The sequence below is a fragment of the Homo sapiens genome, chromosome 22 (assembly GCF_000001405.40).
Source record: "Homo sapiens chromosome 22, GRCh38.p14 Primary Assembly".
Classification (NCBI taxonomy): Eukaryota; Metazoa; Chordata; class Mammalia; order Primates; family Hominidae; genus Homo; species Homo sapiens.
The window spans coordinates 46,489,717-46,504,126 of record NC_000022.11 but is presented as its reverse complement, the minus strand read 5'-3'; the positions used below and the strand labels follow the sequence as shown (position 1 = coordinate 46,504,126).

The following is a 14,410-nucleotide window of genomic DNA, read 5'->3' as shown; positions in this document are numbered from 1 at the left end:
GCAAATATCTTTCATAATTTTGAATTTTATTTTAACTCAATGGTCTCTTTTGCCATGTAGGTCTTAAATGTTTATGTTTTTCTTTTTCTCTTCTTGAGACAAGGTCTTGCTCTGTTGCCCAGGCCGGAGTGCATGGTACTGTCATAGCTCACTGTAACCTCAAATCCTGGGTTCAAGCCATCCTCCTGCCTCAGCCTCCTGAGTAGCTGGGACTACGGATGCACATCGCCACACCTGGCTACTTTTAAAATTTTTTAGTTTTTATCAGAGGTCTTGCTGTGTTGCCAGGGCTGGTCTCAAACTCCTGGCCTTAAGCAGTTTCTCCTGCCTCAGCCTCCCAAAGTGCTGGGATTACCGGCGTGAGACGCTGCACCCAGCCTTAAATATTTTTTGTTGTGGGATCTCCGTCTTGTTCATTAGTGGCTTCTGTGTGCCATTGGACAACTTGCTTAACTTCTTTGGGCCCCGTTTTCGGTTTTTAAAAATAGGGACAGTAATACTGACCCCGTAGGGTTGCATGAGGCTTAAGTGAAGGAACGGGCGGATCAAGAAGTGCCTGGTCCGGCCTCGGGCCTCTTGGCTTCCTCTCGCTGGATGCAGTTGGTTGAGTTCATAGTGAATGTGGTTCTTCCTGTGTCTCAGTAGCCTCCCGTGGTCACAGTGGGGACGGCTGTAGGGGCCTCCCCTGTGTCCTCACCACCATGGGGATGGCAGGGAGGGGAGATCAGTGCACCCAGGCTGGGAAACAGAAGGAAGTACAGGTGTGGCTCCCGTCCTGCGTGCTCAGCACCCTCTCAGCTGCCCTGGTAGCGTCTGGCATGAAAGGGTCGCTGGAAGCAGAGGCTGAATCTCCCAGCAAAGGGTCTGCTGCCCTCCTGGCTGGAGCGAGGCAGGTTGGATTGCTGGGGGCTGGCCTCTATTCCAAGGGCTCCAAGTCTGCTTGGGTCTTAGGTCCTGTCCCTGTCCTGTGATTATAGCTAAGCTGAGTCTTGTCCATCTGAGGCCATCCGAGGCCACTTACCTCATCAGGAGAGAGCCTCCCCCGACTGTTAAGGGACAAAGCTGCTGCAGAGGGTGGGCACGGAGAAGGGGGGCTGTCCTGGAGTTGCCCATGGAGTGGGCACTTCCAACTCGAGCCTTTGATCTTCTCTCCGAGTGCCGTGGCCTGCGGGGACCTGCTCCCGGGGTGCACACTCTTGTGCAGCTTGCTGTCTCCCGGGAATTATGTTAAGGTCAGCAGTGGCTGTACCACCTCTTACGGAGCATGCTTCTTTAAAAACGCCTTGCTGCCGATTTTGGCCACGGTGGTTTAATAGTTAATGTTAAGGGGGAACAGTTAGAGAGAGTCAGGAGAGTGTGGGGCTATGATCATGGGGTTCATCTGTCACTTGCCTGGTGACCTCAGGTTTGTCACTCAGCTTCTGAGAATCTCGATTTCCCCATGTGACAGTGGGGTGGTGAGACCAATTTCACAGGGATTTGTAAAGCACAAAGCAAAGTATTGGCCATGCCACTGGGGCTTCGGAAGAGTCAGCTTTGTCACTAGTGACTTTGATCACCAGTTTCTCAATAACGTCCCTCTCTCCCTCCCTCCTTTTCTGCGTCTTTCCCTCCCTCTCTTCCCTCCTCTTTCTCCTTTCCTTCCCCTTCCCTCCCCTTTCCCCTTCCCTCTTCTTTCCACTTTACCCTTCCCTCCCCTTCCCTCCCCTTTCCCCTTCCCTCTTCTTTCCACTTTACCCTTCCCTCCCCTTTCCCCTTTCCTCCAACTTTCCCCACCTCCTCTCCCCCTCCCTACCCTCCCCTCTTCCTCCCCTCTTCCTCCCCTCCCCACCCTCCCTTCCCCTTCCCTTCCCTTTCTTTTCTTGAGATGAGGTCTCACTCTGTCACCCAGGCTGGAGTGCAGTGGCACAATCATAGCTCACTGCAGCCCCGACCTCCTGGGCTCAAGTGATCCTCCCACCTCAGCCTCCTGAGTAGCTGGGACTGCAGGCTTGTGCGCCACTGTGCCCAGCTACTTTATTTTTTCTGGAGATGGAGCCTTGCTACATTGCCTGGACTGGTCTCAAAATCCTGGGCTCAAGGGATACTCCTACTTTGGCCTCCCAAGGTGCTGGGGTTACAGGCCTGAACCACCACGCCCAGCCCTGTTTTCTACAGGGCAGTTTTCTGAGTAGTTTATAAAAATGTAATGAGCTTCCTCTGCTCCTTCAGAATGAAGTGAGTCACATATTACTCCCTGGAGGGTGCAGATCAGATGATTTTTCTTTGTTTTCTCTTCAAGACAAGGAAGCCCATGACTGTGCCAGCGGGGGAACTCTTCGGGAATTCTTTTTGGGGAATTACTCTTGGAGTTCATGGAAAGATCCATTCTGCTATTGCTCATCTGAGATGTCAGTGTTGAAGGGAGTGATGTTTGGCATTTAAAAACAAATAACATTTCAGATCTTTGTTGCATTGACTGAAGGAAAAAAAGCACATCATACAGTGTTTTGGCTCACAGCTTGTTTTCAGCTTTCAGGGCTGGATATTTGCGTGTTTCCGTAGGTTCCTATGAGATGCCACTTCACGAAAAGGTCTCCTATTAGCTTATTTAAATGTCTGTTTAAAACTTTTCTTAGTGGGGCAGGGCGCGGTGGCTCACACCTGTAATACCAGCACTCTGGGAGGTCGAGGCGGGTGGATCACCTGAGGTCAGGAATTTGAGACCAGCCTGGCCAACATGGTGAAACCTCGTCTCTACTAAAAATACAAAAATTAGCCCGGCGTGGTGGTGCATGCCTGTAATCCCAGCTACTCTGGAGGTTGAGGCAGGAGAATGGCTTGAATCGGGAGGTGGAAGTTACAGTGAGCCGAGATCACACCACTGCACTCCAGCCAGGGCAACAGAGCGAGACTCTGTCTCAAAAAAAAAAAAAAAAAAAAAAAAATTAGCCGGGCATGATGGCGGGTGCCTGTAAGCCCAGTTACTGGGAGGCTGAGGCAGGAGAATTGCTTGAACCCGGGAGGCGAAGGTTGCGGTGAGCTGAGATCATGCCATTGCACTCTAGCCTGGGTGACAGAGCAAGACTCTGTCTCAATAAAAAATGAAATAAAATAAAATAAAAAATAAAATAAAATAAATAAATAAATAAACTTTTCTTAGTGGAAACATCTTAACATTTCAGATCTTTGGGTCTCTGGAGGGGTGTTAGAAACAGGGTTCTCAGCACTTGGCATGTAAATGGGCTGATTTTCGGGTCCCATCATGGGCGTGCTTACAAGGACAGCTCTGCCCGCAGATGGGGGATGTTCTGAGCCTGAGAGACGCAATGTAGTGGCCTGACCTGCTGCTGGCCTCCCGGGCAGCTCCAGTTGTGGGGACACGGTGGTGAGCTTCATTCTGAAACTGCAGTCAAAGGCTCCCAGGTCACCCAGAAAACAGACCAGATAATTATAATAAAGTAAGAAAAATGGCATCTGACAAAAGGCCTGCAGAGTCATTGTTGTAAACTCCCCCAGAGATCAAAAAACACAGGTGTGGGCTAGCTCGGGCCTCTGTTCTTCTGTGACAAGTTATGGGTGTCATTGACGCCCCCTTTGGAAGCTCCCAGAGCTCCCAGTGGCCTTTGTGCTCAGAGCCCATTCAGCACACCCCAGTCATCTGAATAAGCCCAGAGCCTTGCCATTGTCCCCATGGTTGCCCATCAACCGTTCGCCCTCCTGCACCGACTGCCAGTTTCCATGGTTACCGCCACCGCTGTAAATGTGATCTCTGCGCCATGGGGGAGGGGGCTGTCAGCGGCTCCATATAAAAGGTCATCTCCAGCAGGCAGTTAAAACCTAGCGCGGTGCTGAAAACCGGGCGCCAGGGTTTTGTCGCAGTTATGTCCCTTCCTTGAGTCCTGCAGACACCGTGAGCCCAGCTTTCCTGCTGAGCAATGCTGGGAGGACCAGGGGCTGGGGTGGGATCATGCTGGGAGGACCAGGGGCTGGGGTGGGATCATGCTGGGAGGACCAGGGGCTGGGGTGGGATCATGCTGGGAGGATCAGGGGCTGGGGTGGGATCAGAGCAGAGAGTCCGGACTCACAGAAAACAACCCGTTTGGGAAGATAAGCGGGAGAGGTCGCCGCTGAGCCTTGAGCCAGGCATGGGGTGGAAATGGACATTCAGGGTGGTGGGGGCGGCCGCTGGGTGGTGATGGTCACTCCTGGAGCCTGGCGTGTTCTGGAGGAGAGGAAGAGGCACGGTTCTGGCTTTTAGGAGAGGGGTTTGCAGACGGTGGAGGGGTTTTATGTCTGACAGATGAGAAGGATCCAGAAGAGGGCCATCCCGGGCCAGCGCCTAATGGCTTGGGGTTCTGAGGGACGAGAGCAGAGGATGCTGGGAGATGGTGTCCCAAGGGTGGGGGACCAGGAGCACGCGGGAAGCTGCCTCGATACAGTTTGAGAAAATTCTGCAAAATCTCCTGTGGTAGGGACAGATGGGGGTGTGGGTCATGTTACATTTCTTGCTCTTGTGACTCAGTGGTGACCGTCCTTGGGACAAGTCTTTGCATATCTGTGCCAGGGCTTCCTGAAAATAGATATATACAATTGGATGGATTTATCGTGTTTAAAGCTTGATCACATTACCAAATTGTCCCAAAAAAGTGCTTTGCTGATTGATATTCTCGCCACTGGCATCTAAGCCTGTTCGTCTATGTCCTCACAGGCTTGATGTTATCATTGTCTAAGATTTTTGCCAATCTGATGGGTACTAAGTAGCCTGTGATTTTCACCTTCCTCTGATTCCTTTGCCAGGAAGCTTCGTTTCAGATGTTGACTGGCTGTCTGTATTTCTTGTGGTCTGCCAATTCCTGTCCTGTCTCAGTTTTCCTCTGTGGTTTCTGTGTGGGGGTTAGCATTGCTGAGCCCAGGAGTGTAAAACTCTCCCATGTTTAACTTTTTTTTTTTTTTTTTTTTAGATTTGCAACAGAGTCTTACTCTATCGCCCAGGCTGGAGTGCAGTGGCACGATCTCGGCTCACTGCAACCGCCATCGCCCGGGCTCAAGCAATTCTCCTGCCTCAGTCTCCGGAGTAGCTGGGATTACAGGCGTGAGCCACCATGCCTGGCTAATTTTTGTATTTTTAGTAGAGACAGGGTTTCACCATGTTGGCCAGGCTGGTCTTGAACTCCTGACCTCAGGTAGTCCACCTGCCTCGGCCTCCCAGAGTGCTGGGATTACAGGTGTGAGCCACCGAGCCCGGCCCCATGTTTTACTTTAATGGTTTATAGGCTTATTTCCCATCATGGGTTGCTCTTTAATTTATTGAGTTAATTTTGGGGTAATGTTAGGGGGCGGAGGCTTAGTTTTCCCAGTTGTCTTAATATCTTTTATTTGAAGAGTCTCTCCCACCATCCCTGAAATGCCACCTTTTATCATAAACCTCATTCCACAGCCACAGGAGAGGAAGCGTCTGTCACCTCCCTGTCCATGTTTATTTCTATCCCATACCACCGGAGTGTTGTTTTTTCTTTTTCTTTTTTTTTTTTTTGAGACAGAGTCTCACTCTGTCCCCAGGGTACAGTGGAGTGGGACAATCTCAGCTCACTACAACCTCCGCCTCCTGGATTCAAGTGACTCTCCTGCCTCAGCCTCCTGAGTACCTGGGATTACAGGCCCCCTGCCACCACGCCCGGCTAATTTTTTTGTATTTTTAGTAGAGGTGGGGTTTCACCATGTTGGCCAAGCTGGTCTTGAACTCTTGACCTCAGGCGATCCATCCGCCTTGGCCTCCCAGAGTGCTGGGATTACAGGCGTGAGCCACCGTGGCTGATCCCACTGGACTATCTTTTTTTTTTTTTTTTTTTTTTTGAGACAGAGTTTCGCTTTTTTTTTTTTTTTTTTTTTTTTTTTGAGACAGAGTTTCACTCTTGTTGCCCAGGCTGGAGTGCAGTGGCACGATCTTGGCTCATTGCAACCTCCACCTCCCGTGTTAAAGTGATTCTCCTGCCTCAGCCTCCCGAGTAGCTGGGACTTACAGGTGTGCGCCACCACACCCAGCTAATTTTGTATTTTTATTAGAGACGGGGTTTCTCCATGTTGGTCAGGCTGGTCTCCAACTCCCGACCTCAGGCGATCCACCCACCTTGGCCTCCCAAAGTGCTGGGATTACAAGCGTGAGCCACCGTGCCTGGCCCCACCAGACTATCTTAATCACAGTTACATTCTAGCATATTCTGAGAGGTGGTGGAGCACATTTTCTCCCATTGTTCTTTTACATAGTTTTCTTAGATTATTCTAATGGGTACTCTCTTCTGTGTGAGCTCAATAAATACATTATAAAGGTCTGTTGAATTAGAAAAGAAAACCCCATAGGAATCTGGTGAGAATAACATTGTGTTTAAGGATTACTCCATGTAGTAGGTTGAACAGTGTCCCCCACCCCCAGAAGATATGAATGCCCAGAACATGTAACATGACTTATTTGGAAAAAAAGTCTTTGTAGATATAACTAAATTAAGGATTTTTGAGATGGGATCATCCTGGATTAGGGGCCCTAACTCCAATGGCAAGTCCTTCTAAAAGAAGAGAGCAGGAGAATACACAGACATAGAGCACAGAGAATGTGTGAAGACCAGAGAGTAGGATGATGTAGCCCCAACCCAAGGAACTCCTCTGGCTACTACCAGAGACCCGGGACAGAGGCCTGGGACAGATTCTCCCGGGGAGAGAGATTCTCCTTGCCAGACTTTGTATTAAGTCCCAGGTATACAACATTGTAATGGAAGTCTTAGTCAATGCAGTAAGACAAGAAAAAGAATTGCTATAAACATTGAAAAGGATGAGATAACATTGCTGTTATTCACAGATGATAAAGTTACGTATAAAGAAAATAAAATAAAACATGCAAATAAATGATTAAATAATAAGTGCTTTCAGCAGGATTGCTGGATACTTATAGTGAAGTGAGGCATAATGATGTTTCTGTCAAGGACGGGCTGCATATAGGATGGTGGTGTCATATGATGATAATGGAGCTGAAAAATTCTTACTGCCTCCTTGCAGTCACAGCCATGATAGTGTCATAGTGCAACACATTACTCATGTGTTTGTGGTGATGCTGGTGTAAGCAAACCTGTGCTACCAGTCGTGTAAAATTCTAGCACACACGGTTATGTATAGTTCATAACACTTGATCATTATAATAAATGATTATGTCACTGGTCATTTACTGTATGTATTTACTGTACTATACTCTTTATTATTATTATTTCAGTGTGTACTCCTTCTACTTACATTTAAAAAAAAAAAGTTAACTGTAAAATAGCCTCAGTCTGGCCCTTCAGGTTTTCCAGAAGAAGGCATTATTAGTATAGATGGTGACAGCTCCCTGTGTGCTGCTGCCTCTGAAGACTTCCCGATGGGACAAGATATGGAGGTGGAAGACAGTGATATTGATGATCCTAACCCTGCATAGGCCTAGGCTAAGGTGTGTGTTTATGTCTTGGTTTTTAACACAAAGTAAAAAAAAAAAATTAATAGATAAAAGCTTATAGAATAAGGATATAAAGAAAGAAAAAATATATATATTTTTTGAGATAGAGTTTTACTCAGTTACCCAGGCGGGAGTGCAGTGGCGTGATCTTGGCTCACTGCAACCTCCGTCTCCTGGGCTCAAGTGATTTTCCTGCCTCACCCTCCTGAGTAGCTGGGAGTACAGGTGTATGCCACCACACCAGGCTAGTTTTTGTGTTTTTAGTAGAGACAGGGTTTCACCATGTTGGCCAGGCTGGACTCGAACTCCTGACCTCAGGTGATCCACCTGCCTCGGCCTCCCAAAGTGCTGGGATTACAGGCGTGAGCCACTGTGCTTGGCCCAAGAAAATATTTTTGAACAGCTGTACAATGTGTGTTTTAAGCTAAGTGTTGTTACAAAAGAGTCAATTTTTTTTTTTTTTTTTTGAGACAAAGTCTCATTCTGTTGCCCAGGCTGGAGTGCAGAGTGCAGTGGTGCCATCTTGGCTCACTGCAACCCCCACCTCCCGAGTTCAAGTGATTCTCCTGCCTCAGCCTCCCGAGTAGCTAGGATTACAAGCTTGCACCACCATGTCCAGCTAATTTTTATATTTTTAGTAGAGACAGGGTTTCACCATGTTGGCCAGGGTGGTCTTGAACTCCTGACCTCAGGTGATCCGCCCACCTTGGCCTCCCAAAGCGCTGGGATTACAGGCATGAGCCACCATGCCCAGCCAAGAAATTTTTTAAATTAAAAACTTTATAAAGTAAAATAGTTATGGTAAACTAAGGTTAATTTAGTATCAAATAAAGAAAAAAAAATATATTTTTTGAGATGGAGTTTCGCTCTTGTTGCCCAAGCTGGAGTGCAAAGGCACGATCTCGGCTCACTGCAACCTTCGCCTCCCAGGTTCAAGCGATTCTCCTGACTCAGCCTCCAAGTAGCTGGGACTATAGGCGCCCACCACCATGCCTGGCTAAACAGGGTTTCGTCATGTTAGCTAGGCTGGTCTCGAACTGCTGACCTCAGGTAATCTGCCTGTCTCGGCCTCCCAAAGTGCTGGGATTACAGGCGTGAGCCACTGTGCCCAGCCAAGAAAAATTTTCTGTATAAATGTAGTGCAGCCTGGTGTTCAGTGTTGATAAAGTCTGCAGGAGTGCACAGTTATGTCCTAGGCCTTCACATTCACTCACCACTCACCCACTTACCCAGGGCAACTTCCAGTCCTGAAACCTTCATTCCTGGTAAGTACCCTATATAGGTGTACTGTTTTTAATGTTATACCATGTTCTCACTGTGCCTTTTCTATATTTAGATATGTTTAGACTTACAAATATTTGCCTTTGTATTACAGTTGCTTACAGTACTCAGTACAGTAACATGCTGTACAGGTGTGTAGCTTGGAAGCAGTTGGTTATACCACAGCCTAGGTGTGTAGCAGGCTGTACCAGCCATGTCTAAGCCTAGAAGCAGTCAGTTATACTACAGTCTAGGTGTGCAGTAGGCTGTACCAGCTGGGTCTAAGCCTAGGAGCAGTCGGTTTTACCATAGTCTAGGTGTGTAGTAGGCTGTACCAGCTGGGTCTAGCTAGGTTTGTCTAAGGACACTCTGTGATGTTCACCCAACGATGAAGTCATCTAACAACGCATTTCTCAGAATGTTTTCCCCAGTCTTTAAGTGATGCACGATTGTACTGTTTTTAAAAATGTGTTTCTGTGTGCTGGCAATAAATGAAAAGTGAAATATATAACCTACAATAGTATAAAAAGATAACATAACCAAGAATAAATGTAATGAAAGATGGGCAGAACACTATAAAATGTTACTCAGAGAAATTCAGGGCTGGGTGCAGTGGCTCATGACTGTAATCCCAGCACTTTGGGAGACCGAGGCGGGCGGATCACTTGAGGTCAGTAGTTCGAGACCAGCCTGCTAACATGGTGAAACCTCGGTCTCTACTAAAAATACAGAAATTAGCCAGGCGTGGTGGCATGCCTGTAATCCCGGCTACTCTGGAGGCTGAGGCATGAGAATTGCTTGAGCCTGGGAGGCAGAGGTTTCAGTGAGCCTAGATCATACCATTGCATTCCAGCCTGGGCAACAGAATGAGACTACATCTCAAAAAAATAAAATAAAATAAATTAAGAAGGACTTAAATAAATGGAGGGCTTAACAATGTTTATGGATTAGAAGACTCAATGTTATGAAGATATCATTTCTTCCCAGACTGGTCTGTAGATTCAGTGCAGTGCCAATCAAATTGGTACAGAATAATTTAGAGGAAGTTGAAAAAAATTGACAATCTGATTCTAAAATTTATCTGTAAATAAAATTGGCTGAGAATAGCCAAGGCCACTTTGAGGAAGAGCTGAGGTGGGAGGACTTGGTTGGCTGGATGTCAAGGCTTGTTATAGAGCCACTGTAATTAGGAGAGTGTGTCATTAAGAGTGGCCAAGGATAGCCAGATAGGCCAGCGGAATGGAAGAGAGAGCCCAGAAAACAGGCTCAACATATTTAACAGTGTAGCCAGTCAAGTCACAAGGAATAAAGAAATCATAGAGCTGAATTGTCCTCCGCGAGGGTAGATTGTGTGTCTGCCTTTTTTTCTGAATCTGTTTCATTCTTAATATTCTTTTTTGACCTGTTTTCCAGTTTACTAGCTTGCTTAGCTGGGTACAATCTCATCTTACTCGGAGAAGTAAGGTATTAGTGTGTTCTCACACTGATAATAAAGACATACCTGAGACTAGGTAATATATAAAGAAAAATGGTTTAATTGACTCACAGTCCCACATGGCTGGGGAGGCCTCACAATCATGGTGGAAAGCAAAGGAGGATCAAAGTCACATCTTACATGGTGGCAGGCAAGAGAAAGCTTGTGCAGGGGAACTCCTCTATAAAAACGTCAGATCTCATGAGACCTTGTTCACTATGACGAGAACAGCACAGAAAAGACCTGCCCCCATAATTTAGTTACCTCCCACTGGGTCCCTGCCACAACACGTGGGAATCGTGGGAGCTACAATTCAAGATGAGATTTGGGTGGGGACACAGCCAAATCATATCACTAATGAAATTTTAATCTTTTTTTTTTTTTTTTTGAGACGGAGTCTCGTTCTGTCACCCAGGCTGGAGTGCAATGGCATGATCTTGGCTCACTGCAACCTCTGCCTCCCAGGTTCAAGCGATTCTCCTACCTCAGCCTCCCAAGTAGCTGGGATTACAGGTGCCCACCACCACACCCAGCTAATTTTTGTATTTTTAGTAGAGATGGGTTTTCACCATGTTAGCCAGGATGGTCTTGATCTCCTGATCTCAGGTGATCCACCCGCCTTGGCTTCCCAAAGTTCTGGGATTACAGGCATGAGCCACCACGCCCCGCCTGTTTTTATTTTTTGAGTCAGGGTCTTTTTCTGCTGCCCAGGCTGGAGTGCAGTGGTGCCATCATGGCTCATTGCAGCCTCCAACTCCTGGGCTCAACTGATCTTCCTGCCTCAGCCTCCCAAGTAGCTGGGACCACAAGTGTGAGCCACCATGCCTGGCTAATTTTTTTACTTTTATTTTTTGTAGAGATAGGATCTGGCTATGTTTCCCAGGCTGGTCTGGAATTCCCAGCCTCAAGCGATCCTCCCATCTCGGTTTCCCAAAGCACTGGGATTATAGACACGTGCTTTGTTTAGTCTGTTCTCTTACATACTTTTTCTCTCCCAGAGAAATATTAAATGTTTTCCATGCTCTTTTTGTCTACCTTCTAATATTTTGTCCTGTTACCAAGAACCTGGTTTTTTTCTGAGACAGAGAGTCACTGTCGCCCAAACTGGAGTGCAGTGGCATGATCTTGGCTATCTTGGCTCACTGTTGGCAACCTCTACTGTCCTCCTGGGTTTCGGCCGAGCACGGTGGATCTTGCCTCGAGCGATTCTCCTGCCTCAGCCTCCCAAGTAGCTGGGATTGCTTACACGCCCAGCTAATTTTTGTTATTTTTAGTAGAGACGGGGTTTCACCATGTTGGCCAGGCTAGTCTTGAACTCCTGATTTCAGGTGATCTGCCTGCCTCAGCCTCCCAAAGTGCTGGGTTTACAGGCGTGAGCCACTGCGCCTGGCCCCAAGAGCCTGTTTCTAATCTGGAAGAATATATATCCAGGTGGGAATAACACAAGCTACCAGTTTTTAAAACAAAGGGGTGCATTTTTATGGAAAAGAAAAAAGAGGTAATTTCTGTCCCTGGTTGAAATTGGGCCAGAAAGACTTTGCGCCGGGAATTAAAGCAGGACTGTGTATCAGTGTGCCCCATGTTGTTAGTGTACATAGATAAGAAACACGTAACTGAGACCATTGAGGGCTGACATATTTTAAAGGAGAATTTTACAATGAGAAGTGGAACTTGTGTTTTGAAATGAGACTAGCCTGTGAACGTGGAGATCTTCTGTCTGGTAGCATCTGGCATGTTGGCCGGCTTCATTCCTGGAGGAATGACTGAGCCTGCAGACCTGCTGGAGCCTGGGAAGCAGCCCCGAGGGAACGTCCTGCTTCTGCCATTGCAGGTCGCAGCGCCCTGACCGTTGCCTTCTCGTGGCAGTTGTTTCCTTGTGTGTCTTAGCTCAGCCTTGCCCAGCCTTTTGCTAGGCACTTGCGAGGTGCTGGTGAAACAGACGTGGGGTGAAGCCTGGAAAGACATCACTTACCTGAAAATATTAAAAAGAATAGAGAGGCGCGACATCGTGGCTCATGCCTATAATCCCAGCACTTTGGGAGGCTGAGGCAGATGGATCACCTGAGGTCAGGAGTTCGAGACCAGCCTGGCCAACATGGTGAAACCCCGTCTCTACTAAAAATACAAACATTAGCCGGGCGTGGTGGCGTGTGCGCCTGTAATCCCAGCTACCTGGGAGGCTGAGGCAGGAGAATTGCTTGAATTCGGGAGGTGAACATTGCAGTGAGCTGAGATTGTGCCACTGTACTCCAGCCTGGGTGACAGAATAACACCCTGTCTAAAAAAAAAAAAAAAAGAGAGAGAGAGAATAGAGACTATGTTTCCTTTCTGCTAGTTCACAAGAAAAACTTTTAAAAAGTTACTTTCTCACGGCTGGGCGTGGTGGCTCACACCTGTAATCCCAGCACTTTGGGAGGCCGAAGTGGGCAGATCACAAGGTCAGGAGTATGAGACCAGCCTGGCCAATATGGTGAAACCCCATCTCTACTAAAAAATACAAAAATTAGCCAGGTATGGTGGTGGATGCCTGCAGTCCTAGCTACTCGGGAGGCTGAGGCAGGAGAATCACTTGAACCTGGGAGGCAGAGCTTGCAGTGAGCTGAGATTGCACCACTGCATTCCAGCCTGGGCGACAGAGCTAGACTCTGTCTCAAAAAAAAAAAAAAAAAAAGTGACTTTCTGGCTAGATTTCTTTAGTATAGTGGCACTCAGATGGGGCTGCTTTTCCCCCTAGGAGACGTGGCCATGTCTGGAGATGTTTCGGTTGTCACAGTATGGAGGGCGGTGCTACTGGCATCTGGTAGGTGGAGGTGGGGGATGCTGCTCTGTGTCCTGGCCATGTCCAAGGGCCCGGGGTGGAGAAGCTGCCTCAGGAGACCTGGCGAGCATGGATGTTGGGGGGCCCTCCATTTGCAGGCGTCTCCTGACTTCCGAGGTCCTGAACTTGTAGGGGAACAAAATCCCCCGCCTGTGGGTGCAGAGGCAGCCCTCAGGTGGCCTTGGGCAAGTCACTGGACCTCCTGATCCTCTGAGGCCTGGTCTGTAGAGCAGCGAAAATGACACCTGGCCATTTGGACTGCCTGGAGGATCAGGGTGCGGCACGTGCAGCAGCCCCAGGCCAGCTGGGTGCTCGATGGTGGGTGGTTGTTCACAAGAGCGGCAAAACCAGAAACTCACTCTGCACCCTGTGGTGGCTGCAGGAGTTGGTTTTGTAGATTTTTCTGGTATTTTAAAGTGTCCCCGCACACCCACCACTTTCCTGAGTCTGCAGCTGTGGCGCTCACAGCCATGCCTGAGGGAGGCTCCACGACGCTCACTCTGCTTAGAACATTTCCCTCCCAGGTCCTGCTTGAAAAGTGGGTTTCGGTTGGCTGATCTCAACATTTTGGGAGGCGGAGGGGGGCGGCTCGCCTGCGGTCAGGAGTTCGAGACCAGCCTGACCAACATGGTGAAACCCCGTCTCTACTAAAAATACAAAAATTAGCCAGACGAGATGGTGGGTGCCTGTGATCCCAGCTACTCAGGAGGCTGAGGGAGAAGAATTGGTTGAACTCGGGAGGCGGAGGTTGGAGTGAGCCAAGATTGCGCCGCTGTACTCCAGCCTGGGTGGCAGAGCGAGACTCTGTCTCAAAAATAAAAATAAAACAAAATAAAAATAAAACCTCTCCAGGTGACCCTGGGGAATCCCTCTTTTGGCTCCTGTCTCATGAGATGGAAATTAGAGGGCAGGACCCTGTGTGTCTGAGTGTGTCTTATGGCTGGAGGAGAGCAGGACCCATGCACTCCAGGTAGAAGTGCCATGTCGACATGTGTACACTTTGCACTTGGGAACGTTGGTTCTCAGAAAGCGGCTCACTGGGTCTCTGTGCAGCCCTGTGGGGTGGCCACGTTAGGTGTTCCCACTGCAGGGGCGGATGCTGAGATGGCCAGGAGGACGCTTTCCCACTAACCAGGCTGGGCAGCGCATCTGGATCTGGGAGTTTATTGTCCTTGGAACCTGGAGGCCACAGAGTGCAGGAAGGATGGGCTTTTTTTTTTTTGAGAAGGAGTCTTGATCTGTCACCAGGCTGGAGTGCAGTGGCGCAATTTTGGCTCACTGCAACCTCTGTCTCCCGGGTTCAAGCAATTCTCATGCCTCAGCCTCCCGAGTAGCTGGGATTACAGATGTGCACCACCACGCCCCGCTAGAGATGGGGTTTCACCATGTTGGCCAGGCT

The 14,410-nt window shown here is 48.4% G+C and overlaps 1 protein-coding gene across 4 annotated transcripts in view, besides 1 other annotated feature; it reads left to right on the top strand.

The window, feature by feature from the left end:
- Positions 1-14,410, top strand: part of CELSR1 (cadherin EGF LAG seven-pass G-type receptor 1) — a 176,447-nt gene that overhangs the window by 33,494 nt on the left and 128,543 nt on the right. The gene's annotated exons all lie outside the window — the stretch shown is intronic.
- Positions 2,809-3,783: an enhancer, noted in NCBI's record as "NANOG-H3K27ac-H3K4me1 hESC enhancer chr22:46896241-46897215 (GRCh37/hg19 assembly coordinates)". NCBI's record gives its function as "activates a minimal SCP1, AML or CMV promoter by ChIP-STARR-seq in naive and primed H9 embryonic stem cells {active_cell/tissue: H9 hESC(naive and primed)}" and the evidence as "EXISTENCE:reporter gene assay evidence [ECO:0000049][PMID:30033119]".